The 27,628-nt window shown below is 57.9% G+C and overlaps 1 protein-coding gene across 28 annotated transcripts, besides 4 other annotated features; it reads right to left on the minus strand.

Annotated features, from left to right (window-relative positions):
• Nucleotides 405-24,087, minus strand: CBS (cystathionine beta-synthase). Of its 28 annotated transcripts, XM_047441025.1 has the most exons (20): nucleotides 23,954-24,087; nucleotides 23,439-23,478; nucleotides 22,549-22,983; nucleotides 20,480-20,555; nucleotides 19,199-19,415; nucleotides 15,723-15,829; nucleotides 13,457-13,591; nucleotides 12,830-12,909; nucleotides 12,601-12,735; nucleotides 12,417-12,486; nucleotides 11,114-11,205; nucleotides 10,167-10,292; nucleotides 9,525-9,609; nucleotides 7,655-7,760; nucleotides 6,440-6,517; nucleotides 6,048-6,182; nucleotides 5,359-5,467; nucleotides 4,017-4,101; nucleotides 3,272-3,313; nucleotides 405-1,197 (listed from the first exon to the last, which is right to left on the minus strand). In XM_047441025.1, exons 5-20 carry the CDS (start codon nucleotides 19,405-19,407, stop codon nucleotides 1,094-1,096), a joined length of 1,698 nt encoding a protein of 565 aa, XP_047296981.1. In that variant the 5' UTR covers nucleotides 19,408-19,415; nucleotides 20,480-20,555; nucleotides 22,549-22,983; nucleotides 23,439-23,478; nucleotides 23,954-24,087; the 3' UTR covers nucleotides 405-1,093. The 28 variants fall into 28 exon arrangements, 26 of the variants coding, with proteins under 26 accessions (XP_047296981.1, XP_047296986.1, XP_047296980.1 ...); XM_047441030.1 differs by lacking the exons at nucleotides 3,272-3,313; nucleotides 22,549-22,983 and having other exon boundaries at nucleotides 405-861; nucleotides 1,076-1,197; XM_047441024.1 differs by lacking the exon at nucleotides 22,549-22,983.
• Nucleotides 9,533-10,033: an enhancer, noted in NCBI's record as "H3K27ac hESC enhancer chr21:44482429-44482929 (GRCh37/hg19 assembly coordinates)". NCBI's record gives its function as "activates a minimal SCP1, AML or CMV promoter by ChIP-STARR-seq in naive H9 embryonic stem cells {active_cell/tissue: H9 hESC(naive)}" and the evidence as "EXISTENCE:reporter gene assay evidence [ECO:0000049][PMID:30033119]".
• Nucleotides 16,397-17,020: an enhancer, noted in NCBI's record as "H3K4me1 hESC enhancer chr21:44489293-44489916 (GRCh37/hg19 assembly coordinates)". NCBI's record gives its function as "activates a minimal SCP1, AML or CMV promoter by ChIP-STARR-seq in naive H9 embryonic stem cells {active_cell/tissue: H9 hESC(naive)}" and the evidence as "EXISTENCE:reporter gene assay evidence [ECO:0000049][PMID:30033119]".
• Nucleotides 17,021-17,644: an enhancer, noted in NCBI's record as "H3K4me1 hESC enhancer chr21:44489917-44490540 (GRCh37/hg19 assembly coordinates)". NCBI's record gives its function as "activates a minimal SCP1, AML or CMV promoter by ChIP-STARR-seq in primed H9 embryonic stem cells {active_cell/tissue: H9 hESC(primed)}" and the evidence as "EXISTENCE:reporter gene assay evidence [ECO:0000049][PMID:30033119]".
• Nucleotides 27,390-27,561: a silencer, noted in NCBI's record as "fragment chr21:44500286-44500457 (GRCh37/hg19 assembly coordinates)". NCBI's record gives its function as "represses an EF-1alpha promoter that drives an FKBP-Casp9 reporter gene in an ReSE screen in K562 erythroleukemia cells {active_cell/tissue: K562}" and the evidence as "EXISTENCE:reporter gene assay evidence [ECO:0000049][PMID:32094911]".

Raw genomic sequence — 27,628 nt, forward strand, 5'->3', positions numbered from 1 at the left:
CAGGAGAATCGCTTGAACCCAGGAGGTGGAGGTTGCAGTGAGCCGAGATTGTGCCATTGTACTCCAGCCTGGCAACAGAGCAAGACTCCATCTCAAAAAAAAAAAAAAAAAAAAATTAAACATGGAGTTACCACATTAACCAGCAATGCCACTCCTGGGTACACACCCAAGAAAAGTGAAAAGAGGTGTCCAGACATACTCGGCCATGAAGGTGCACAGCAGGTTACTCACAAGGGCTGAAAAGCAGAAACAACCAGGTGTCCATCACCGATAAATGAGGAACCAAAATGTGGTCTATCCACACAATGGCTTATTATTCGGCCACAAAAAGAAACCAAGTACACGTGCTCTGACATGCCTGAAAATACCATGCAAAGTGAAATAAGTTAGACACGAGGCCACAATTGTGTGATTCCATTTATATGAAATGTCCAGAACAGGGAAAACCTATTTTAGACAACAGAGACACAAAGTCGATCAGCAGTTGCCAGGGGAGGAGGAAGACGGGAGGGGAAATGATTGCTTCACGGGGTGATGACAGAATGTTCCAGAACGTGACAGAGGTGGTGCCTACACAACTTTCTGGATGTACTAAATGCCGCTGATTGTTCACTTTCAAGTGATTGATTTTTAGGTTATTTGAATTTCATCTCAATTAAAAAACCCAAACACGCAAACTGCTCCCGCCAGCTCAGCCCCGAGCAGACGGCGCAGCCCGTGGAGGATGCTGAGCCACCCAGGCTTCTCCCCGCCCCTTCCTGGACTCTTCTCTCTTTTGCCTTTAATCCACTCTGCGCAGTCATTGCCTGTGTTCATCCTACCTGGCCGACTTCTCTCTCAATATTTCCTTGGTGAAACATCCTAAGAGGAAGTTACATTAGAGAAAATCACATATTTCATCTCATAGGCCGTAAACAGGGCCATTTAGGAAGCCATGTGTTAACGAGGGGAGACGGATGCTCTGTGCCGTGTGCAGGGATAACGGTGCCAGGCCAGGCAGTTACCAATCACGCGTGTGTTTAGGGCTCAGGAAAGCGAAGGAGAAGTGGGCAAGGGTGGCGGGCCCGCTCCGCACCGCCCAGCGCTCCGGACTTCACTTCTGGTCCCGCTCCTGGGCGGCCACGAAGTTCAGCAAGTCAATGGCGGTGACCACCCCGAACACCATCTGCCGCTGACTGGACTTCCCGGTGCTGTGGTCTGAGGGGAGAACGAGGCAGTGGGTTTGCAGGTGCCGTGGGAGGCTGGGTGGGCTGCTGCGGGGCAGGAGGCTCCTGAGGGCCTGGGGCACCTGTGCACCATGGGGGCCCAGGGTGGCTGGAGCCCAGCGGCGAAGGCTGTGTTCCTTTTTTTTTTTCTGAGACAGGGCCTCACTCTGTCCCCTAGGCTGGAGTGCAGTGGTGCAGTCTTGGCTCACTGCAACCTCCACCTCCTGGGTTCAAGTGATTCTCGTGCCTCAGACTCCCGAGTATCTGGGACTTCAGGTGCACATCACCACACCCAGCTAATTTTTGTATTTTTAGTAGAGATGGGGTTTTGCCATGTTGGCCAGGCTGGCCTTGAACTCCTGACCTCAAGTGATCCACTTGCCTCGGCTCCCAAAGTGCTGGGATTACAGGCGTGAGCCACTGTGCCTGGCCAAGCCAGTGTTCTTCTGACATGAGCCCCATGAGCCCCCAGGCCAGGTTCTACCCACCACGTGAGTCCCCTGGGCCCCAGGCCAGGCTCCACCCACCGCAGGTCAGGACACACCCTTCCCTGGCCCACCGGCTGAGCTCCTGAGGCACTCATGACTTCAGAGCCGGTGTGGGCATGAAATTCAAACCCGCTTACAGGGCCGGGCACAGTGGCTCACACCTGTGATCCCAGCGCTGTGGGAGGCCAAGGTGGGAGGATCATTTAAGCCCGGAAGTCTGGGACCAGCCTGGGCAACATATTGAGACCCTGTCTCTACAGAATATTTTTAAAAATAAATTAGTCGAGCATGGTGGCACACGCTTGTGGTCCCAGCTACTTGGGAGACTGAGGCAGAAGGATCAGTTGAGCACAGCAGGTCGAGGCTGCAGCGAGCTATGATGGCACTACTGCACTCCAGTCGGCAACAGAGCAAGACCCTGTCTCTAAAAACAGACAAAAACCCCTTGCCACCATGGGCAGCACACAGCTTCCATCTCTGGCCTGATTCTGTCTTCACCCCTCCTGCTTTCTCCTGGCAAGCGTAGACCCGGTGTTAATGCTGGCCGAGGCTCCCATGCCACATACCCAGACAGGGCTGTTGTGATGGTTAATTTTAATACAGATTAACGGGGCCGTGGGAGCCCAGGCATTGGTCACACGTCGTTCTGGGCATGTGTGAGGGGATTCCGGATTAGCACAAGAGTCAAGAGGCAGATAACGTGTGCTACTGTGGAGGGCCTCACCCAAGCAGTTGAAGGCCTGAATAGAACCAAAGGTGGAATTTCCTGCCTTGGGGCTTGAACTGCTGGCTCTCCAGTCTCCGGCCTGCCGCCTCACCCTGCAGATCTCAGGGTTTGTCAGCCTCCGTGATCTCATGATCCAGTTCCTTAACACAGATCTCGTTCCCTCTCTCTCCCCGCTCCCCACACATCCTCTTGGTCCTGCGTCTCCACAGGACCCTACACCAGCTGTCATGAGGCACAGAGGGGTGAGCAAGGTGCGGGTGAGGAAGAGCCCTCGGAGCCCGTCCCAACTCCGCCACGGCTGTCACTCCTCTCTTTGTAGGCAGAGGTCCCTTGGGGTGGCCCACTTAGAGCCCCAGGAAAAGATAGGGAACACAGATGAGATCAGCTCCTTGCATTTTGGGGAAACGGAGGCACAGCAACTGTTGGAGAAGGGAGCCCTGGGAGCCCTGAGTGCCGCAGGCTTCTGTGGCCCTGGCAGCTCGGCCCAGAGTCAATGGACTAGGGCCAGCCAGGGGACTTTCCGACAAGGGCCAGCTGGTGGTATTTTAGGTCTTGGGGGCCGTGCCGTCTCTGTTATGAGCACGCAGCCCTGACGTGCTTGAAAGCAGCCACAGACGGTGGTGACAAGCGTGGACATGCTCCAGGAAGACTTGATTTGGGGACCCTGACATTGGAATTTGCATCTTTTTTTTTTTCTGAGATGTTCAAACACAAGTAAATGTGAGATTAAGAGGGGGATCCCTCCTACCCAAGCTTGGGGGTGGGTCCAGGACCCTGGAAGGCCTCCATTTGCCATGGGGAGGCTGTGAATCTGAGCCTGAGAGCCATTCTGAGGGGTGGGTGATACCTACCTGCAGGCCCCCCCACCACGCCTGCCCAGGCCTGGTCCTGCGCTGCAGAGCCAAGGACGGGAGATGGGGTTAGACTTGGGGCCCTCACGGACCAGCCTCAGCCACCGAGCGCTCACCCCCTGCACACAGGCCTGGTGGGTGGGCAGGCTCCAGGCTCCAGGGCCCCTCCCAACTCTTCCTGTGGGCCCCAGGCCCAGGGCTGCCATCTATGACCCAAAACCTGCGAGCGACTCTCCTGGCCTGTGGGGATGTGGTGGGGACGCCCGGGGATGCGCTCAGGAGTTGCAAAACCTCATGAGCTTGCTGGGAGCGGGGCTCTGAGGACAGCCCATCAGTGGCTCCTGTGAGACCCACATGAGGCTTCCATTCAGAGCAGCCCTCCGAATGCCAGGGTCAGGACTTGAAACCCTTCTAGATGTTTCTGGGCTTGTCCCTGAGAATCCCCAAGACTGCTGGCCTCCCCGGAGGCAAGGGGCCTGGACTCCTGAGCCTCTGCATGCTGGACAAAGGGCCCTACCCAGTGTGGCCTGATGAGGGGTCCCTGCAGGAATCACAGGTACAGCCCACCAGCCCAGGGCATGTGGGAGGCCCAGGCATAAAGACTGGGTGTCACTGAAGGTCGGCACCACCCACTCCCCTAACACCCCGCAGGGGATGGGGGGCCCAGCTGCTGCCCATGGCAGAGGCCAGGCTTGGTGGCCTGACCCCAGTGAGAACCCCACGCACAGAGCAGGGCCCCACTCACACTGGATCTGCTCGTGCACCACCAGGGCGAAGTGGTCCATCTCCAGGATGTGCGAGAGCCTGCCCAGCGTGTCCGTGAGGCGGATCTGCAAGGGAAGCGTGGTCAGTGGCAGGGGGAACATGGCCCCACGAGTTTTCTGTGGAGTGAGAGGGGATGCGATGGTGGGTCCTGCAAAGCCCACCCGGGAGGCAGTGGCAGCCGAACGTGGGAAATACGTGGATTCGGGTGACGTCTCGGGTGTGTGTGTGAGATGGGAAAGAAGTCGAATTCACTCCTAGGTTTGGGCAGAACCCTCAGCCTTTCCAGTGTCAAGAGCCACACCTGCATGTCCCAGGGGATCCGTGTGGAAGGTCACACAAACTTTCCTGGGCCACCCTCAGGGCAGCAGAGGGTGGGTGTCTCAGGACAACCACGGAGTCTGACCAGCCCGGCAAGGAGCCACCGTGGGCTTCTCCCAGAATGTTCTAGCTCTTGTTGGATAACCAAGTGCATGCACAGGCAAATGAGGCTGGGCAGGAGAAAGACCCCGGCAGACGCCGCATGGTGCCCGGGACAGCCTCTGAGCGCGAATGACCTCCTTAAGTCCCCAAAACACGGCTGGTGTGGATGAGCCTGCACTGATGAGAGCCTGCTCTCCGGCTGCTGCACTTGTAAAGTGGGTGCTTCTCAGCTTCATGGTTTGAGGGGTGCAGCCAGCTTCGGCCTAAGTGGTGTTGAGGGTCGAGGACCCAGCACCCCCACACGGGAAGCGCGGTGTCCCGCCTTCGAGGCTGGAGTACTCTGGCACCCTCTGGGGTCCCGAAGTGCCTGAGTACCTGTTTGAGCCGCGTGTAGGTGACTGCGCACCTGTTTGAACTGCGTGTAGGTGACCGCGCACCTGTTTGAGCTGCCTGTAGCTGACCGGGCACCTGTTTGAGCTGCCTGTAGGTGACCGCGCACCTGTTTGAGCTGCCTGTAGGTGACTGGGCACCCGTTTGAGCTGCCTGTAGGTGACCGCGCACCCGTTTGAGCTGCCTGTAGGTGACCGGGCACCCGTTTGAGCTGCCTGTAGGTGACCGGGCACCCGTTTGAGCTGCCTGTAGGTGACTGGGCACCCGTTTGAGCTGCCTGTAGGTGACCGCGCACCCGCTTGAGCTGCCTGTAGCTGACCGCGCACCTGTTTGAGCTGCCTGTAGGTGACCGGGTACCTGTTTGAGCTGCCTGTAGGTGACCGCTCACCTGTTTGAGCTGCCTGTAGGTGACCGCGCACCTGTTTGAGCTGCGTGTAGGTGACCGGGCACCTGTTTGAGCTGCCTGTAGGTGACTGCGCATCTGTTTGAGCTGCCTGTAGGTGACTGGGTACCTGTTTGAACTGCTTGTAGATGACTTTGCCAACTTGGTCTGACGGCTGCACCTTCCCGGCAAGCAGGGACGAGAGCATGTTCCCAAGCGTCACCATTCCCAGGATTACCCTGTGGGACGGGGGCAGGCAGGGGTCAGCGCTCATACCTCACCCCTCCCAGGACGGTGGGGCACACGCTCAGCTGCCCCAGGGAGGAGCGCTCTCTGGCCACACATGGAAGTCCTCTGCCACGAGCCTACACGCGGCAGGAACCAGTCTGGGCCCTGGTGGGGAGAAAGAAACCAAGAGTCCTTGGACCCGTTCAGCCAGGGTCAAGGGTGACCAGCCGTCAGGTTTCCGCGACGTGGGGCTCTCAGTGGTCACTGGGCATGTGTGCCAAGGCTTTCTGCTGTCAGACATGTCCTCGGGGCATCTCTCCCCTGACCTCCAGGTGGGCCCAGGACAGCCTGCACACAAAGGGTGGGTGGGCTGAGGTCTGAGGGCCTGGAGTGAGCACGGCAGCCCTGCCCCAGGCTGCTCAGGGACCGGCAAGGGGCCTCCAATGCCCTGAACGTCTGTATGAGGCGGCCCAGGCGGGCCTATCAGCCCAGCTGCAGGGTCTGCATGGCTGCCCTGTCCAGTGACACTGACGGGGTGGAGCTGGGCAGACAGAACCCAGGACTGAGCTCTGAGCAGGGGCTGAGACTGACCCCGCCTCATCCACCACGGGCGCCTGGTCGAAGCCCTTCTCCCGGAGGATCTCGATGGTGTGCCCACAGGTGATGGTCGGGAGCACGGTCAGCGGGGCTGACAGGCCCAGCTCCTGAACACGGAGGTGCCACCACCTGAGGGAAGAGGGCAGGTCGGGGGGATCAGGATAAGGACAAACGCTCTCGCACCCCCGCCGGCAGCACCTCAGCAGGAGGCCACAGGGACCGCTCTCCTGCCTGTCACACTGGGCAGGGCCAGCACAGGCCACGGGGACCGCTCTCCTGCCTGTCACACTGGGCAGGGCCAGCACAGGCCACGGGGGAGTGCTCTCCTGCCTGTCACACTGGGCAGGGCCAGCACAGGCAGCGGGTCTCCGGCCGAGCGGTCTTACCAGGGCTTCTTCTCCGTGAGGTCCTCCTCCTTCAGAAAGCCCTTCTGCAGCATCCACCTGTCGCTCAGGAACTTGGTCCTGCGGGATGGGGGAGTCACCGAGTCCCCGCAGGGCCCCACCGGGCCCCCGCCCCTGCTGAGTGGCACGCACTGCCTGCCCAGCCCCTCTCCTGGACCTCACTGGTGCAGCAGAGACCCCCAAGTGCTGGCTGGAAGCCCCAGGGGGAAGCCTGGGGGCTGGACTTCCCGCCCCCATGGCCAACAAGCGTGTGTGAGCATGCACACAGCCATCGCTCAGGCACTCAGATAAACACGTCCTCTCATGCTCGCTCTCTGCCCCTCACACACTCACACGCACAGGTACACATGGCAGGCTGGCCAAGTATGTGGGGAGATGGTGTTCTTGCACTGACGGGGGTGGGCAGGAGCCCTGCACAGGGCATCTTGACCCTGGGCACCAGATGTGAATCACCCCACACTGGGGAACCCAACTGGGGGCACCCACCAGCCAGGCCTGGCCCTCCAAGGGCAGCTGAGCTCTCGGGAGCTGTGTAGCCGCTGCAGCTTGCAGGCCATGGAGGAAACCCTGCAGGTGCAGGGGACAGGGCATGGGGGTCTGTAGACACCCGCCCTGGTACCGCCTCCGGAGACCAGGTGCAGAGCAGCGCCAGTCTCAGCCTGGCTGCCCGGTGACCAGCGAGGTCTGTGGCGTTACTGTCCGAGGGGCCTCTGGGCAAAACAGTCACAGCAAGTCCTAGGGGGCCACCTGGGCAGCACTCGGTCCCAATCTGGAGTTTGGGGGAAGCAGCAGAGGGAGTCAGGGTGGATAGGAGGTGGCACAGGGCCCGGCCCAAGAGGACGTCAGTCCATGTGGCCAGGGCTACCCGTTGGAGCTCACGGACCCCAGAGCAGTGAGGGGGACAGACACCAGAGAGGAAGGGACAGGAGGGACAGAGAGGGAGCCACCGTCTTTCATGCCCCTCCTGTCAGGGCTGTCACTGCGAGTGTGCATTGATTTTCACAGCATTAAGAGGCTGGGAAGCCCCACAGCGTGAGGGCACGTGGGCAGGAGAGTGGAGGCGGTGCTCACAGGGCCCCGCTGGCCTCCTCCCCTCCCAGTTCTGGCTGCCGGTTCTCAGGTGAGGCGTGAGAGGCATCCAGGGAAGGGTGGCAGGATGGAGAGGAGCAGGGACCTGGGAGGGAAGCCGTGTCTTACATGTAGTTCCGCACTGAGTCGGGCAGAATGACCACGCAGCGCTGGCCCTCCTGCAGCTCCTGCGCGGCCTTCACGGCCACCGCCACCGTGCTGCCAGCACTGCCACCTGCAGAGAGGGCCACGAGTCAGACGCGCCAGGGTGAGCGTGCGTGGGTGCACACGTATGCATGAATTGTGCACGTGCACGCATGGGAGCATGTCAGACACACTCCGAAGGATCCGTCAAGAGGGGTTGCCTCGGGGAGAGGGGCTGGGAGGACCCCACTTCTCCGTGAGCATCGGCTTCTTCCTTGTGCACCATGGAGTTTCTGTGTCCACTCGGGGCTTCATAATGAGCTGGGGTGGGCACTGGTGCCAGGGAAATGCCTGCAGTGGGGCTGCGGCCCCTGGCAAACCTCCTGGCCCTGAGCCTAGAGCCAGCGATGCTACGAGGACGGAGCCCCCAGCACCACGCCTGCAGGCTGCCTGACTGCACACTGGGCTCTGCTTTATAAACAAGAGACCAAGGCTCACAGTGACACCAGCTGTCCCTAGGAGCCCTGAAGTCAGAGTCAGAGGCGTCTTCTCTGGGCTTAGTTTGAGGGTGCACACAGCAGTCGGGAAGGTCTAAGTCTGCAGTAGGAGCCCCCACAGGAAGAGAGGCACCCTCCTCTGTAACGGGGCCCATGGACCTGCTTTCCAGCCCCAAAGGCAGGGGCTTGTTTCTCCACCAACATGGGGAGCAGGGAGACTGAGACAGGGAGAGCCCAACGATTATGGGCACCAAGTCACCTTTCGTGACAGATTCATCTGGAAAATGCTTTTCTTTTCTTTTTTTTTTTTTTGAGATGGAGTTTTTGCTCTTATCACCCAGGCTGGAGTGCAATGGCGTGATCTCGGCTCACTGCAACCTCCACCTCCCAGGTTCAAGCAATTCTCTTGCCTCAGCCTCCCGAGTAGCTGGGATTACAGGCATGCACCATTACATCGGCTACTTTTTTTTTTTTTTTTGGTATTTTTAGTAGAGACGGGGTTTCTCCCTGTTGGCCAGGCTGGTCTTGAACTCCTGACCTCAGGTGATCCACCCGCCTCGACCTCCCAAAGTGCTGGGATTATAGGCATGAGCCAACGCGCCTGGCTGGGAAATGGTTTTTCAATCAAGACTTTCTTCCAATCTCTAGTTTGGGGCTCAGCTAACGGGGGACTTGGCCATGCTGAGGGCTGGTTTCCTTCCACTTTCCCTGTCACCACCCCCAAAGTGACATGACACACGGAATGCACATGTAGAAACCTCACATGTCCCTGCCTGCGTTTTAGAAGCTGGTGTGTGCTCTCCGAGTCCCCAGAGGTCTAGATCAACTGTGGTCCCTACAGGGCCTCTGCTGCCTGTGTGGCTAGTCAGTGGCATTGCCAGCGGCCACCTGGTCTGTCCACCCCCAAGCAGGTGGGCAGAGGGGCACGGGGTAGGAGGAAGGTGAGCGGGGTCGAGCTGGACAGCCTCAGGCTCCAGTCCCCTCCCCAGCTGCTCCAGGGTGCTCGCAGCACCCAGTCCCGGCCATGGGCCCCGTCAATGCAGAGCCACCGCCCCAGGGGCCCTGGTGGACTTGATTAGAAACAATAAGTGCCATGAGAGCTTCAGCCTTGTTCTAGAAACACATTCTGGAAGGCAGCTCGAAGCCCCGCCCCATGGCCTCCTGCCCTCACCTGAGCAGGTGACCACACTGGGCAGGCAGACAACACCTGAGGCTCGTGGCCGCCGCAGTGACACTCCTCAGAACTGCTGTCTTACACATGCAGGTCGGTGGCTGACTGAGGGTGCGCCCCCAGCCATCCCCAGTGCCCCCTAGCCATCTCTGCCTTCCCCATACCCCCGTGCCCGCCACCCACTCACCGCACAGCAGCCCCTCTTGCGCGATCAGCATGCGGGCAAAGGTGAACGCCTCCTCATCGTTGCTCTTGAACCACTTGTCCACCACCTGAGCAGGACCCCACCACAGCCCGTCAGCGTGGGAGCCGCTCCCACGTGACCAAGAGGGTGAACAGCCTCATGGTGGACCCCGTGTCTAGGCGGTAGGACCCCAGAGGTCTCACCCCAGCCTCTCCCCCTGGGATCGGCACGTCTGCAGACTTTCCAGTTCCAACACGTTTTGCAGACAGCAAAACTGCCCGCCAGCCCCACTGAGCATCCGTGTGACCCACACCGGCCCTTCGGTCTCTGCTCTCCCTCAGGCCAAAGTCAGCTTTTTGGCTCTTAACAGACTTTTCCGGGGCCTTAATTTTCACACGTTTTCCCTGCTCCCTGCCTGTGCCACCTGGGCTACATCCCTTGGTGAGGTCAGGCCACGTGTGCGGACATCGTCCCCCAGTCTACTTTGTCTCGACCTTCGAGACCAGCTTCTCACCATGCGTGCGGGGCTTGCCCTTCTGTTTCAGTGGAGAAGCTGGTTGGGGCCCAGGGTCAGCCAGGCTCCCCAGTGTGAGGGTGAGTTACAGGCTGCACCGGCACTGTGGCCGGGCTCTGGACTCGACCTACCGTCCTGTCCAGCACCGTGGGGATGAAGTCGTAGCCGATCCCTTCCACCTCGTAGGTTGTCTGCTCCGTCTGGTTCAGCTCCTCCGGCTCTGCGAGGATGGACCCTTCGGGATCCACCCCAATGATCTGCAGAGGGCGCGGCTTCAGGGCTCAAGGCCAGCAAAAGCCCCGCCTGGACATGCCTCGATATTCTATTATGGGAGTGGCCAATACCGCCGTTAACAACTGCCTGTTAATGATCTGCCTGTGGGTGGTGGCCTGTTCCCAGCCTCAGAGGCAGGATGAGAAACCCAAGAACCCAGGCTCCAAGTATTAAAGCGGTAATGACCTAAATGTTCAGTGCAGGGCGCTCAGAAGTAAAGGCAGGTGCCTGGGAGGAACTGACCTCCCCGGGGTGCTTCTCGGAGCGGGGCCCCCAGGACAGTCCAGACAGACCACCCTGCGGCGGAGCAGCAGAGCCTTTGGGGACAAAGGGCATTGCTGGGCAGTGACGTCTTTTTCAAGGGCAAGCAACAGGGAGAGAACGCCCTTGTCTCATCAGCGGGACCTTTCTAGGCACCCGTCCTCAGACCTGCTCTTAACCCCGAGTCCAGGAACCCTCTCCCAACTCCCACAAGCCCCAGTTGAGGGGCAGACTCAGGACCAGAGGACTTAGAGCTCCTGGCTGATCCTCAGAGGCCCCCAGTTGGAACTCCGACCCCCCACTCAGCGCAGGAAGGTTCTCCAAGACACTGGCCGGTGAGCGAGCACCCAGCCCCAGCTCCTTCGGGTCACGAGCTGCTGGTCCCTTATGTGTCAAGCACCCTTGTCTTCCCAAACACCTCCCAGGCAGCGCAGAAATACCGCGGGAGACAGCGTGCTGAGCAGACCGTGAGGAATGACAGCTTTCAGCTCAGAAGCCGGGGCCACTCCGCACTGCCCCTCTCCGGCCCGGCCACACCACTCACCCTGCATCCAGGACACTTCTCCTTCAGCTTCCTGGCAATGCCCGTGATGGTGCCGCCCGTGCCCACTGAAGCCACCAGCATGTCCAGCTTCCCTGGTGGACGGATAACATTCTTGGGTCCCTGCCTGGCCAGCCCATCACTCATAGTAATAATCATTGAAAACACACTCAGCCCAAACCACGGTGGGTAACCAAAAAGTTCAAAAGAAAAACTTCTTCTCCAGTTGGAGCAGCCCTCGTTGCTGCCCTTGGTCTGTGAAAGCCTCAGAAACAGGCAGCCTGGGGCACCCCAGCCCAGTCTTTGCTCAGTGACACTCGACCCCTAAAACCCCCATTTGGCTGGATGCAGAAAGACAGGACCCTGTCCGGGGGGTGCAGGCGCTGAGGGCGGGCAGAGGGAGGCTGTGAATTAACCACCTCCGTGGGCTGTTGGATGTTTGCGTGGTGTGAGTGAGTTAACTGAATTTACACAGGAAATGGAATCAGTCTTTTAGGCTTCAGCGCAGAAACTCGCTGGGCGCTCACACTGCTGGCCGCCAGCGCGGGCATCTGGTGGAGAAGTCACAGCAGGGAAAGACTCAGCGAGACGGAGCAGCTTGGGCACCCATGCTGAGACAGGACTGTTTTTGCCAAATGAGAGAGTTCTCACACATAAAGCCCAAACAACCAAATGCCTGGACCTTACAGCCCGGCTCCTGGGCACGGACTGAGGGTGTACTCCAGCCCATGCCAACACCGGATTCCCAATAGGAAGCCAGGGCGCCAACCTCTTGGCAACTTATCTCTAAAGGGATCTCTTGGGAAAACCTCAGTACCAACCCCCACAGGCCTTGGCACCGAGTCCCTGGAAAAGGGCCCAAGGAGCCGGCCTCATGCTTGTAACAGAGAGTGAGCTCATCGCAGATGTCACCAGCTCTGTTCTGCAGATGAATTTGATGCCGAGTCAGGGCATGATCCCAAATGAAGTCCAAGCTGTGAGCCCAGCACCAGCCTGGGCCCTGAACAGACTCGCTGTCTGCATTATCTGCAGGAGGAGCCCCTGCAGACCTGCAGAGATTGCTGGGTAAACAAATACAGCCATGCCCTGTGTTTGCTATTACAGGTAAACCACAGGCGGAGGCCAAGAGGGCACAACGGAGGGAGGAAATTGTTCTAGAGAAATGCTCTAGAAAAGCATTTCACAGAGGGAACATTTGAGCTGGGTTCTGAAGGGTGAATAGGAGTTCACCAAGGAGAGGGCAAGAGATGTGTACACTCCCAGGCAGCCAGGGATAAATGCAATCAAGATGGACAGAGGGACGCACCATCACACTGCTGCAGGATCTCATCAGCGGTGGTGTCGTAGTGAGCCAGGGGGTTGCTGGCGTTGCGGTACTGCATAGAAAGAGAGCAGAGCCCGTGAGCTGACCCCTGACACCTCAGTCACCCCCACATCCCTGACCGAGACCCTCCTAGGGAATGCCTGTCTCCAGGCCCCAGGTGCCTCACCTGGTCTAGGATGTGAGAATTGGGGATTTCGTTCTTCAGCCGCCAGGCCACCCCCACGTGTGACTCCGGGGAGTCGAACCTGGCATTGGTGGGCGTCCTCACAATCTCAGCCCCCAGTGCCCGCAGCACGTCCACCTGCAGGAGGGAAAGCGGTGGCCTGCACCTTCCGCCTGGCCCAGGCACCCTCATCCCCTGCCCTATGACCCCGCCCCTGGCCACGCCCACCCACCTTCTCGGAGCTCATCTTCTCTGGCATCACGATGATGCAGCGATAGCCCCTCACTGCCGCAGCCAGGGCCAGCCCGATCCCTGAGGGCACACAGAGGGTGAGAGGGGCCCAGTGACCCCCCAAGCCCTGCCCCGCCCCTGCCTGGGACACAGGGGCACACCCCGATGCCGGTTCCCTTAGGGCCCAGGGAAGAGGGTTCTGTGGGATTCCAAAATTGCCCAACATGGCTGCTTCTGCCTTCAAGTGCAGGGGGAGAGAGGCTGCCAGAGGCAGAAATAAAAGGTACACGTCAAGGAGGAGGAGGCAGCGGCGCAGGACAGGAGATCTGGTTCCTCCAGGCCCAGCCGGGTACACAGGCACAGGAAGAGCAGACTCCGGGTGCTCGTCTTGTGTGCCAGGCACTGCCAGGTGCCATCGCCCCGAGAGCATCGGCACTGGCCCCGAATGCTGGTCAAAGGAAGCTAGGTTGGGACACAGGCCGGCAGCGGGTGCAAGATGCCAGGGAGCAGGCGGCCAGGCGGGCCAGCACATGCGGCTGCAGCTCAGCCATCCCCCCCGGGTCCCGGCAGGCTCGGCATGGGTAGGGGACAGCCAGCCCTGGCCACCCCCTCTGGGCCTGGCACCCACCGGTGTTCCCGGATGTCGGCTCGATAATCGTGTCCCCGGGCTTCAGCGTCCCGTCGCGCTCAGCATCCTCAATCATCCGCAGGCTGATGCGGTCCTTCACGCTCCCGCCCGCGTTGAAGAACTCACACTTGGCCACTGGGAGGCAGAGATGAATCACAGAGGGGACCCCCTGACCACCCCCCCATTGATTCCTGCTCACCCCCCCATTACCTGATACACCCCAGGGTGGGGGACGGGCTTGGGGGTCTGTGGGTTCTGAAAAATTGCCACCTCTCCACTCACCTCCCCTACACCTGCACCTGGGCACTAGCCTATCAGAGCTTCTCCCCCTGCAGCCCATCCTACCGGTCCTGCAGGGCGCTGAGCAACTCTGTGGGAACCAGAGAGGCATAAGCAGCCCTCACTGGGGGGCGCCGCAGAAAACCCCGTCCCCCCACCCACGAGCTGGGCTTGTGGCGGGCAGGCGCCTGGATTTGGGTCCCCTACGCCCCTATGCCCAGCCATACCCAGCGGCCCCTGCCAAAGCAGCTTGATGTCCTGAAGCCACAGCACTGGCTTCCCCATCGGATGGGGACTCGCATACTCTCCCTACAGCCTCCCATTGTCCTCCTCCCCCTGTGGGGCGTCACCTGCCCGGGGAAGGGCTCCCTGCGCGGTTCCCGCACAAGGCCAAGGCCTTCACTTGCACTTCCTTCCTTACTGCAAGTCCTCTCTCCCTCTCCAGCTCTTAAAAATATTTAGTTTTTAAGAGCGAGAGACTGGGCTGCATGAAATGTGATTTGAGGGACCTGGGACCAGCCTGCAGCACCTCAAAATTTCTGAAAGCAACCACCAGACAGGTGTTGCCCCTAGAACCAGGACGAGGCGCTGTGTGTGGTGGGGAGGACTCTCGGGGTCTGGCCCTCTACAGGCCTGCATTCTCGGACCCCTCTGGGTCCCATACTGTGAAACCCTCAGTTAGATCATTCTCACTAGCGCCTGGGGGCCAGCTCCGAAGCAGAAATCAGAGCTGGTGGCCTCCGGCAAGCCACGTGACCAACCTGACCCTCGGTGTGTCTGTCTGTAAAACGGGCATTCCAAAACCTACTTCAAGGGCAACCACCAAGTTTAGACGTCATCCTGTACGGAGCACAGTGAGCCAGCCACGCGTGCTGCGTACGAGTTAAGGGTCCCTATTGTCTGACAAATGAGCACAGAGCCGGCCCTGCTGCCTTGGGGGTCTCTGTGAAGGGGGCTGCTCTGCTGCAGCTCCGAGATCTCCTTCCCTAGAGGGGGGCAGAGGAGGGCCAGGCTCCCACGAGGCCCCTCCTGTGAATCGGCGATCGGTTCCCAACGCACCGACCCCTGACTTCCTTCCCCCAGCGCCTGCCCCAGCTCTCACAGGTCCCCCGGCTGGGACATTAGAGCATCTCAGGATGAAAAAGTCCCAAGCCATGTTACTGGTTCCCTCTCCTTCCCACTCGAACTCCACCCCCTCCATCTGGCCCTGTCGCGGGGTTCTCCGCGGCACCCTTCCTGCCTCCCTCCGAACTCACTTGGCCTTGGTCATCTGAAATACGAAATTCCGTCCCCGCCTTGTCCCCAAGGCCTCTGCACCCACAGCTTTCTCTGTGACGATGCTGAGGTCTACCAGGGCTCTGCGCTCTTGGTGAAGAGCGACCCTTAGGAATTCCCTCCACGTTCTTGAGCCTGGAAACTGCGTCCTGCAAAGAAATGCCCTTCCCCGGAGGCCTCAGACCACACCTCAGGTGACCCCCTGCGCACCCAGGACGAGGCCAGCCACAGACCCTCCAAATTCCCATTCTCTGTCTCATAAATGATGAGCTGAACTATCTGTCCCCACGAAGCTGGCAAGACAGAGGTAACCGCTCCCTGGACAGCGGGTGGCTCACAGCACGTGCTAGGACCCGTCCACTGCTCCTTAGCAGGCATGACGCTAACCCTCCCCACCTGCTTGCTTCTGCCTTTGACCCTCACCCGGCCCTTCACACCCTCGCTGCTTCCACTCCGGCCTCAGTTCAAAGGTCACCTGTTCGTTCCCTGGTCCATCTGCTGGGGAGTCACTTTGGTCACCCTCTGACACAATGCCCTGTTGTGTGTTTTTCCCAAACTTAAGCTGATATGTTCTTGGCCACTCATTAACCAGCGAGTTTTCTGATCCCAGGGCCTTGCCTAAGGGATCCATCCCAGGACCCCCCAGGACCCCCCAGGCCCACGGAGCCCAGTGTAGATGGAGGAAGCCCCTCTCCAAAGCCAGGGCACTCACAGAGCTCACACTTCAGGCCGAACTTCTTCCCAATCTTGTTGATTCTGACCATAGGGGTGTCCCCGATTTTCTTCAGAATATCTGGCAAGATTTTTGGAGATTTTGCCCTGAAACAGAGGAGTCCACAATTATTCAGGAAAAAAAAAAAAAATAGTACCAGCCCTGGCAGACATTGTCTTACACAAATCAACACTCGAAGAACTGGAAAAAAAAAAAAAAAAAAAAAAAAAGAACTGGCTTTATCTGGGTGGTGGTTACACAAATCTGTACACAGATACACCTAACACACATCCCACACACACGCCTGAAACACACATACACACACATGCTTAGACATACAAATCTATAAAAAGCAAATCATGCCTGTGGTTTATTTGCACCAATGCCAGCTTCCCAGGTTTGAAAATGAACCTACAGTCGTGGCAGATGTTGTTAGTGGGAAGCTGGGAGAAGGGTACAAAGGATCTATTATTTTTGCCACTTATTGTGAGTAGTAAATTATTTCCAAATAAAAAAGTTAAAATAAGCAAATACTGACTCCAAAACAAAGGTTTAGGTCCACCTTTTCAGAAAGGCTTTACTGGAGATGACATTTCCTTTCATCTCTCAGCATGTGACCATAGGAAGCAAAAAAGTGTCAGGGCAGAGACTCCTTAGACCAGGGACAATGGCTGCAAAGCGCAGGCGGGATGTCTAGCCCTGCACAGAAAATGTCAGGCACGTGGCAGACTCAGAGCCCCGGCAGAGGCGCTGTCGGCCAGGCTCGTGATGCCCTGCCCTGCAGCATCTGGCTGTGTAAACCCTCAAACCCTGGTCCAGGTGGTTTCCTAAATGGCCCTCATGCCCCTGCCATCCTCCCCCAGGGAGATGCTGATGACACCCCCTATCTATCTGCACCAAGCTCACCACATACTCATCTGGGAACACGCATGGCTTACAGCGGTCTCCAGACCCGCAACCCCTCCCTGGGCCTTGCAGCTCCGATGACACCCCGTGGCTAACCCTGGGCCCCCTCTTCAGCACAGTCACCTGCTGAACAGCCAGGGTCCTTGGGTCCTGCCCCCCAGGAGGCGACCCTTAGACCTGGGGTGAACCCAGCTCCCAGAGGTCCTGTGCCATGGAGGGAGTGCCACATTTGCAGGGAGAGCTACCCTGAAGGCCAAAACAGGCGCCAACAAGAGCAGCTGGAATCCAATCGCACCCTTCCCGGGGAGCAGAAGGCAGTCCTGCCAGGTCCCCAAACTGTACAGGGGCCAGGGAGGTTCCCTCAGAAGCAGTTCTCGGCAGAAGGGAACCAGGCTTGGCAGGTGTAGAGAGCCAGGGCCAGGTGGAAAGCCAAGCCCCAGGGTGACAGCGCCGGGGATTAGTTCATTAATTCAGTTCGGGCATCTGGCCAGCCAGGCGGGAAGAGTCCCGCCTCCCTGCAGCAGGTGTGCTGACTCAGCACTGGGCCTCGGTGGCTGTGAAGTTACCTGAGAAGTTTGCAGAGGTGATCAGGGCCAGGCCCAGAGCGCTTAGCAAGAAAAAGGATGTGACTTGCAGGGATAGCCCTGGAGCCCCTTATCTCAAGGACTCCCACTTCCACAGCCCAAGAGGCTCCTGGGAGGACACGCCACTGTCCTAGAATGAACCTCCAACTCCTGACCCACCTCTGCAGCACCTCCCCGCAACGCCACTATTCTCAGGGGCCCTCCGACTGGAGACAAGCGGCGTCGGCTCTGCGTCTCAGGATGGGGGTGTCTTCGGAGGATGAATGAGGCCAGTATGTGAGGTGCAGGTGCAACGCCATTTACAACCTGGAGGGCATCGTCTCCTTCTCATGCCCTAGAGTTAGGAGCTCACGGAGCCCTCAGGAATCGGGCCTGTCTTCCCTGCCCACTCCACCCTCCAGCAGCCACTCCCGACCTCACCGGGCCTCTCACCCACTGCTCTCTTGGGTTTGTCTTGGCAGCAAGAGCCCATCCTCCTGGCTGCCCACACATCTGCTTGGCCTCCTGAGCTCCCAGCACTGAGTATGTTTGACACTCAGACCTTCTGGGTTTGTCCACTGTCACTTCTTTCTTTCTATTGCTGCACTGAGAGTACACCCAGCCACCCCCACCCATTCTGAACTGTAAATCAACAACCATAAACGCTGGTAGTGGTGGACACAAAATAGGAATCATAATCCCAGCACTTTGGGAGGCCGAGGCGAGTGGATCAACTGAGGTCAGGAGTTCAAGACCAGCCTGGACAACATGGTGAAACCCCATCTCTATTAAAAGCATAAAAATCCACCGGGCGTGCTGGCACATGCCTGTAATCCCAGCTACTAGGGAGGCTGAGGTAGGAGAATCGCTTCCCGGGAGGCAGAAGTTGCAGTGAGCTGAGATCGCGCCACTGCACTCCAGCCTGGGTGACAGCGAGACTCTGTCTCAAAAAAAAAAAAAAAAAAAAAGGAATCAAACATCTAAGAAGCACATTCTTTGATCTATTTGTTCTCCTCCAAGATTACACTAAGGAAATAAAGATAATCCTAAGGCTTAGTGAGCTTGATTTCAGTTTCATGCTGGGGTAGGGATTTTTGTTGATTTGTCTTTTCCACTGATAGATCTTCTGCGCCTTGAGCAGGGCACGAAATGCACATGGCGCTGAGGAAAGACTTGTTGGCTAAATGAATGTGTCGTATCTTCTATTGCAGTTATGTAAAATGAGGTAACTGCAAACATCTATCTACCCCGTAGAGGGCTTACAAAATGATGGCTTCTTCACCGAACAGTCTGTGCCACCAGAAAAACAGCCCTTATGGAAAAATATGTAATGCCTACGGGAAGTCTTCATGACCTAGAGTTAACGGAAAAGTGCAGGCTGGGCCGGGCGCGGTGGCTCACACCTGTAATCCCAACACTTGTGGGAGGCCAAGGCAGGCGGATCACTTGAACCTAGGCATTCAAGACCAGCCTGGGTGAAACCCCATCTCCTAAAAATACAAAAATCAGCTGGGTGTGATGGTGGGCACCCATAGTCCCAGCTACTTGGGAGGCTGAGGTGGGAGGATCCCTTAACTGGGGGAGATTGAGGCTGCAGTAAGCCATGATTGCACCACTGCACTCCAGCTCGTGTCTCAAAAAAATAAAAAATAAATAAATAAGAGAGCGCAGGCAGGATCCTGGTCCCTCACCTCCAGTGAATGTGCACACGCAGCCACAGACCGGGCAAAGCATGTGACCTGGGCACATTTATTTATTTATTCTGGAACTACTTGCTGAGCATCCACTGTCTTGCCAGGCACTGGCCTAGGCGCTGGGCTGCAGCGTAAGGAGGCCTTGGCCTCTCAGAGCCTCATCTACACGGCATGGCCCCACCCCCAGCTCCTCAATCCAGAGTGACTACAGGGGGTTACACCTCATGTCCTCCTGGCTGTGTGGTGTCCAGGTAACAAACTCCTGCCCTCCAGGTTATGGATCAGCCCTCTTGTGATCAAAAGCAGGACTTACGGGGCAGTGTGGTGATGTGGGGACTCGGAGGCAGGCCGGCCCAGCTGCCAGGTGCACCTGCTCGGAGCATCGGGCCGGATCCACAGGGGCTCCTTGGCTTCCTTATCCTCTGGGGACCCCTTCTCCAGGCTCCCCTTCGCCGAGTGTGGCCCTGAGCGGTGGGGGCAGCCTGTGGGCCCCACTTCTGCCTGGGGGGTCTCAGAAGGCATGCTGGGACCTGGCAAAGCAAGGAGAGAGGCGTCGGTTCAGGCTCGGATGCTGTGGGGTTCCAGCGAACCCTGCTGACCCGGCCCCCTCTGGGAGGCGTGCTCTGCTCCCTCAGAGAAGCCCAGGAAGAACTGCACAAAAACACAGGCACCAGCCCTGTGGGCAGCCGCTTGGCCATTTCTCTCCTATAGGCATATACCAAAAAAAATGGAAGCAGACAGTTGCTTGGGCCGGGTGCGGTGGCTCACGCCTCTCATCCCAGCACTTCGGGAGGCTGAGGCAGGAGGACCACTTGAGTCCACGAGGTCAAGACCAGCCTGGGCTCCAGCCCCATCTCTATTTAAAAAATAAAACAACAACAACAAAACAGATGCTTGCACACCCATGCTCACTGCTGCACTATTCACAAGTCAAAACGTGGAGGCAGCCCACGTATCCGCAGACGGATGAACACACACAGTAGGCTCATACACACACTAGAATATTACTCAGCCCTAAGAGAAATGAATTCTGGCACACGCTACAACACGGACGAACCTTCAGGACATTATGCCAAGCGAAATGAGCCAGACACAAAAGGACAAATACTGTGTGATTCCACTTCCACGATGAGGCACCTGGGACTCTCGAACGCCCCTCTATGTCTGGCAAATTCATAGAGATAGAAAGTAGAATAGAAGCGGCCAGCGGCTGAGGTGAGTGGGGAAGGGAGGGTGATTGTTTAATGGGTGCAGAGGTTGTGCTGGGGATGATGAAAACGTTCTGGGTGGAGATAGTCACGGTGGTTGCCTCACACTTAGAAATGGTTACAGTGATCAGTGTTACGTGTATTTTACCCAGGATTAAAAACACACACACGCACCTGAAATAGATGAGACAGAAAAAAAAAAGAAGAAAGCAAAAAGAAAGCCAGGCGAGGTCCCATCTGCTGCCCCTCCTCTGGGGGGACAAGGAACCCACGACCACCTCCCACCTTGCCTTCTTCAGAGGGCCCAGGACTGGGCTCAGCCCCGCTTCACCCTCCTTTGATTCCCCACATTCAACAGGAAGACTAAGTCCACAGCCGTCACTCACCGGACAGATGGTGCTGACAGTTCAGCACCGCTCAAACTCTGTAAGGAGACGTGACAACAGAATCTGTCATGGGATCCTGGAATAGAAAAGGGCAGTGAGGAGAAAACTCTGCAAATCTGACTCAAGCGCGGACTTTGGTTAATGTCAACAATGGTTATGTGATCGTGGAATTGGCTCATTAATTGTAACAAATAGGCCGGGCGCGGTGGCTCACGCCTGTAATCCCAGCACTTTGGGAGGCCGAGGCGGGCGGATCATGAGGTCAAGAGATCGAGACCATCCTGGCCAACATGGTGAAACCCCGTTTCTACTAAAACTACAAAAATTAGCCAAGCATGGTGGCGCACACCTGTAGTCCCAGCTACTCGGGAAGCTGAGGCAGGAGAATCGCTTGAACCCGGGAGGGGGAGGTCAGTGAGCCGAGATCGCGCCACTGCACTCCAGCCTGGCAACAGAGCGAGACTCCGTCTCAAAAAATAAAAATAAAAATAAAAATAAAAGAAAATAAATAAAGTAACAAATATACGACATCAGTTTAAGATCTTAATAACAGGGGAAACTGGGGGAACTCTATCTATTTTTTCAATTTTTCTAAATCTAAAACTGCTCTTTTTTAAATTTTCGAGACGGAGTCTCCCTCTTGTTGCCCAGGCTGGAGCAGTGGTGCGATCTCGGCTCACTGCAACCTCCACCTCCCGGGTTCAAGCAGTTCTCCTGTCTCAGCCTCCTGAGTAGGATTACAGACGCCCGCCACCACATCCGGCTAATTTTTGTATTTTTAGTAGAGACGAAGTTTCACCATGTTGGCCAGGCTGGTCTCGAACTCCTGACCTCAGGTGATTCGCCCGCCTAGCCTCTCAAAGTGCTGGGATTATAGGAGTGAGCCACCCCGCCCGGCCTAAAACTGCTTTTTTTTTAAAAAGCCTATTAAAAAAGAAAAAGTTGCGGAAGCCGGCTGCCTTTGGAAGCCCTTGGAGTATGCTGTTCAGGTGGTCTCTGCGCACAGGCCCTACCCAGGCCTCAGCTTGGCCTCCTGGACTTCCCAGCCTCCCCTCCACCTTTGCAATTCACCAGACTGGGGGCCAAAGCGGCTTCAAACGACCCTGGAGGGTGGTGCTTTCAAGGTCTTGGGACCACGGACTTGTCTGAAAATCCGAAGGCGTTGGATCTTCTCTTCCCCAGAAAAATGCACCCGCTTTCAGAGGTTCGTGTCCCACGCTTTTCTTTCTATCCCAACCTTGTAAGAAGCCGCCGCCGTGAGCGGAGCAGCACCTTCCTCCGCGGGTCGCGGGAGTCACCTACGGGAAGGGACTCTCCGTCTGGCACAGGCCCTGTCTGGCCTGGGGCGCGCATGCTCCGCCGCCGAATCTTCCAGAAAGCCGTGGACCCGAGGCCCCGGCAGACGCAGGCGGCCCAGCGCCTTGCTTTTGGCCCCTCGCCTCGCCCTGGAGCCCTCTCTCGCAAGGTAAGGGACTGCCGGGAACGCAGATCGCAAGCCGTCGGGGCTCTGTAGAACTCAGAGGCGCTCGGCGGAAAGCTCGCCAGGCGACCCAGACCCGAACCCGCGGGCTCCCCAAGACAACAGCGCCGGGCGGCCGGATGCACGTGCGTCCCGGGAAGGCGGGTTCAGCTGGCATCGCCTGGCCGGTTCCGTTCGCTCCTTAAACCACAAGACCCCCTTGGGGTCACGACGTTCCCGGGGCACCCCTGCACTCGCGCGCCAGCACTCCCGGAGGGGCCTGGGGAAGGCCACGCGCACGGAGAGCGGGAAACTCCTCTAGGTTTCCAGGTGGGAGATCCAGACCCTACTGAGACCCGGAAACCGCCGGCCACTCCGCCTCCGGAAGCGACACTTTGGGACAAAGCTGGGGACAAGTAAGCCCAGAAGATCCTCGGGAAGCCGAGAATTTCGCGCTCCGCTCTCCCACCCACGCTCCGCCTCCCGCTTGCATCCTACAGCTCAGCTGCGGTCTCGCCTGGGGCTCAGGGAAGTGAGGTCCCAGGAAAACCTCCATCCCCCGAACGCAACCTGGGCAGAGCCCCGCGTCCCTCCCCCAGCGGGCACCCACCTCGCGTGCCGCCCGCGCAACGACAGCGTTTACCGCCACCCCACACGGTCCGCCAAAAAGGGCGATTTGCAAACAGCCATTTCCCATCCACAATGCAGCGAACTCAATGCTGGGCACCGAAACGTGCATCTCCCCCGGATTCCCACCCCGCGTCCCTGCTCCACGCTCCAGGACTCGCCGCCAGTGGGGTCCACTCCGCCGGCGCGGGGGCTGGGGTGGGAGCCCGGGGCCACGTGCACGGCCAGCCCCCATCTTCTGGGCGGTCAAGACCGCAGGCGTGGGCGCCGGTGGGGCGGGGGTCTTGGGAGACCCTGTCTCGCCGCCTTTCGGTGCAGATGATGCAACTCTGGGCGGAGGCGCGGAGAGGGAAACCGGGACCCAGTTGAGATCCTCTGTCCAGAGAGGGGAGCGAGTCTCGGTGGGGCCGGATCTCACCTGGACGGATACATGGAAAAGAGGGGCGAGCGGCTGCCCCGACTGCGGCGAGGCGGAGACGGCGACCCCGGGGTGGCGGCCTCGCGGGGACCCACGGCGAGGGGAGCAGGCGGGCGGTGATTGGCGGAGAGGCGGGGGCGGAGGCCGGCGCCGGCCAATGTCTCGTGGCAGAGCACCCGCCCCCCCAGCCCCTCCTCCACCCCACCCAGCCCGGGCCCCTCCCCCCCACCCCTTCCCCACCCCGCCGCAGCCTGGGACCCTCCGGCCTGCCCGACCCCCGCCCTCCCCGGGACCCCGGCATGCCCCCACCCCAGTCCGCCCGCCCCATTCCCACGCCCTGTTGATTCAACCGCAGACCCGGGTCGCCGCCCCCTCCCCCGCCTTCCTCTTCGCCTGAGCCCGCCCGCCCCGGGTTCCAGCCACCCCCACCCGCGGACCCCGGTGGTGTCTTCTACCTGGTGTTCCGATGCTGTTTTACTTGGTTAACTTCTTGCCCTTCGGGAATTTAAGGAACCTTTACTGATGAGCTTGAAACGTGCGTCCTGGTGGGTGGGGGGCCCTGCGCGTCCTCGAGGACCGACCCCGAGGGCGTGTGTCGCGGGCCCGGGAGGGGGCGCCGCGCCGGGGCGGGACTCGATGGCCGCGCTCTGTGGCCGCCGGACGCCGTGCGCAGCGCCCCGCGTGACCGCGCCCAGAGCCGGGTCCGAACCCCGAGCCGAGGCGCAGAACAGTCGCCTTGCGCGGCTCCGGTGCGGCCCACGGCCAGGGGCTGCCGGGCGCTCTCGGGGACGGGGCCGACTCCGCGCAGGGTGGTAGCAGGGGCGCCCCGCGGGGCTCCTTCGCCAGGTCCCGGAGGCCGCGGGCGGGGCCGTTTCCCAAACATCGTGCTCTGGACTTTCAGAGGCTGAACCTGATCCCCCCGCCCTATGGCTAAATGGGGGATCCCAGGCCCCCGAGTCTCCCCCCGGACCTGCAGCGAAAGACACGGACGGTGCCCATCAGCTCTGGGCAGAGGAACGTGCTGCGCCTCCGCAGCGTCCCCGGCTCAGGTCAGAGCGATGCTCCGCAGCCTCCTCCGGCCCGCGCAGCTCCGCCGCGGTCTCTGCCACGTGGGGCTCACAGTAGGGGAGGGAGTGAGACGTGAATTAGAATTAAATGTCCACTGGCAGGAACTGACACGAAGAACAATAAAGCCGGCGATGTGGGGAGGGGACAGGGATGGAGTTACATCATGAAGGCTCTGGAAGGTGGCATTGGAGGCCGGGATCGCGCCACTGTCCTCCAGCCTGTGCGACTGAGCGAGACTGTCTCCAGAAAAAAAAAAAAAAAAAAAAAAAAAAAAAAAAATCCTGTCCAGTCTTTATAAGAAGAGAGACGTGGACACAGACACGCGGAGAGAAAAAGGCCATGTGGAGATGGCGGCAGAGATGAGATGTGCTGCCACCAGACGAGAAATGGCAGGGATGGCTGGCGGCCTCCACAGGGCTGGGAAAGGTGGCCAGGGCCTCCCTCAGAGCCTTCAGCCAGCCTGCGGGAGAGAAAGATGATAAACGGTGTTGTTTTTGTTGTTGTTGTTTGAGACAGAGTCTGTGTCACACAGGCTGGAGTGCAATGGTGAGATCTTGGCTCACTGCAGCCTCAGCCTCCCGGGTTCAAGCGATTCTCCTGCCTCAGCCACCCGAGTAGCTGGGATTACAGGCACGCACCACCATGCCAGGCTAATTTTTGTATTTTTAGTAGAGACGGGGTTTCATCATGTTGACCAAGCTGGTCTCGAACCCCTAACATCAGGTGATCCATCCGCCTCGGCCTCCCAAAAGTGCTAGGCTCACAGGAGTGAGCCACCGCGCCCAGCCCAATGTGTGTTGTTTTAAACCACTCAAGTTTGCAGTAATTTGTTACACAGCCCAAATACTTTTTAATTTTTTAGAAATTTTAACGTAATTTTAGATTAGAAAAGTGGCAAGAACCATACAGAATGTCATATTCCCTCATCCAGATTTTCCAAATATTAATTTTTTTTGCTTCTATTATCAGAAACTCATTGTTATTTCAAATGTTAAGTTTTTACTACATTTGCTCCCTCTCTGTCTCTCCACACACACACACACACACACACACACACACACACGTGTGCAGGTGTGTATGAATCTGTCACTCAGTCTATCTGGTTTCTCTAACTTGTTATTTTGTTTTGTTTTGTTTCTTTTTGAGACAGAATCTTTCTCTGTCACCCACGCTGGAGTGCAGTGGTGTGATTTCAGCTCACTGCAACCTCCCCCCCACGCTGGAGTGCAGTGGTGTGATTTCGGCTCACTGCAACCTCCCTCTCCCGGGTTCAAGCGATTCTTCTGCCTCAGCCTCCCAAGTAGCTGGGATTACGGGTGCCTGCCACCACACCTGGCTATTTTTTGTATTTTTTTTTAAGTAGAGACGGGGTTTCACCATGTTGGACAGGCTGGTCTCGAACTCGTGGCCTCAGGTGATCCACCTGCCTCGGCCTCCCAAAGTGCTGGGATTACAGGGGTAAGCCACTGCAGCCAGCCCACTCTCTAGTTTTAACACTTACTGATGATTTTGTCTGAATTGATTTTTATTAAAATGGTTGCTGAGCTGTGGCTCACACCTGTAATCCCAGCACTTTGGGAGGCTGAGGCGGGCGCATCACGAGGTCAAGAGATTGAGACCATCCTGGCCAACATGGTGAAACCTCGCCTCTACTAAAAATACAAAAATTAGCTGGGCATGGTGGTGCGTGCCTGTAATCCCAGCTACTCGGGAGACTGAGGCAGGAGAATCACTTGAACCAAGGACTCGGAGGTTGCAGTGAGCTGAGATTGTGTCATTGCACTCCAGCCTGGCGACAGAGCAAGACTCCGTCTCAAAAAAAAAAAAAAGTAAATAAATAAGTAAAATAAAATAAAATAAAATGGTTGCTGAATAGTGGTTTTTCTAAGCCCATCACTCCTCCATGTACCATTTGGCATTCCATTATTAGAGTTTTCCTTCTCCCTCATTTATTTATTCACTTAGTTATATCAATGTGAGCCGTAGGTCCTATTTTAAAATGAAAAAGCTACACCTGACCACTGAAAGTGCACGAATGGCCAAGTGGGGTGGCTCACACCTGTAATCCCAGCACTTTGGGAGGCCAAGGTGGGAGGATCACCTGAGGTCCGGAGTTTGAGATCAGCCTGGTCAACATAGCAAAACCCCGTCTCTAGTCTCTACTAAAAATACAAAAACTGGCCAGCGCAATGGCTCACGCCTGTAATCCCAGCACTTTGGGAGGCCAAGGCGGGTGGATCGCCTGAGGTCAGGAGTTCGAGACCACCCTAGCCAACATGGTGAAACCCCGTCTCTACTAAAAATACAAAAAAAAAAGAAAGAAAGAAAGAAAGAAAGAAAAAATACAGCTGGTTGTGGTGGCAGGCACCTGTAATCCCAGCTACTCGGGAGGCTGGAGCAGGAGAATCGCCTGAACTTGGGAGGTGGAGGTTGCAGTGAGCTGAGATCGCGCCACTACACTCCAGCCTGGGCAACAAGAGCGAAACTCCATCTCAAAAAAAAAAAAAAAGAAAAAAAGAAAAAAGAAAAACACATCTCCCCGGCCCTCATCATTTTCTAGCCTCTGCCTCATTTCTGTGTCTGCCTACATGAGAGGAGGCACTGCAGGAGCAGAGCCCCCAGGAGGGCCTGGCCCACCACATTGTACTGGGAAGGAGCTCAGAGCCAGAGATGCAGGAATGCTGGCGTCCTGTGGACAAGGTGGAAGAGCTTCCTTCTAATCACCTCTGTTTCTTCAAAGGAATAGGCCTGACAGCTGGTCAGCAGCAAGTGGACAGCGAGGCCGAGCTGATGGAGGGTTTTGTTGTTGTTACTTTTGTTCAGAGTATAACACGTATGCAGAAAGTGCACATGTCATGAGTGGACAGAGGATAAACCGCTACCCCACTGGGGGGCGAGCAGAGGGGAGAGGCCTGGGCCTGCACCATCCCCTGGTGGCCGGAAGGCTGGGCCCTCAGAACTGGAGGAGATTGGAGGAGGAGGAGGAGGAAGAGGAAGGGAAGGAGGAGGAAGAGGAAGGGAAGGAGGAGGAAGAGGAAGGGAAGGAGGAGAGGTGGGCAGCACTGAGGGCTCCTGCGAATTTCCATTCACAAGTTTCCCAGGCCCCTGGCAGCACGGCTGTGCTTTTCTCTGGCTGCGGTGAGTGGCCCGCGTGGCAGGGCAGGGGAAGAGCGCTGGAGATGGTCGTGTGTGTTTACGAGATTCTCTCTCCCTGCCCAAGTCACGGCAGTGGCGGAAACTTACCCACCCTTTGGATTTGGGCTGAGCCGTGGTTTGCTTCACCCCTTGGGACACACAGCAGAAGGGAGTGTGCCTGTTTGCAGCTGAGACCTCAGGGACAGCGGCCCTGACCTCAACCTGCAGCCCGGGGCCCAGCCCTGCAGAGCCCGGCAGGGGAAGAACAAAATGCCCTTTGCTGGGAGCCACCGGGACTGGGGCTGTTTGCAGGCTGGGTTACGTGTGAGAGTGAAGTTTTGTCTGAGTGTGTTGGTGGGAGACGGCACAGACGGGAGGCTGAGCTGCGTTTGTTTGCAGGGATCTGCGCTGGGTGGGGCGGGAAGGATGGGCAGCAGGCGGC

This window comes from Homo sapiens, chromosome 21, assembly GCF_000001405.40.
Source record: "Homo sapiens chromosome 21, GRCh38.p14 Primary Assembly".
Taxonomy (NCBI): Eukaryota; Metazoa; Chordata; class Mammalia; order Primates; family Hominidae; genus Homo; species Homo sapiens.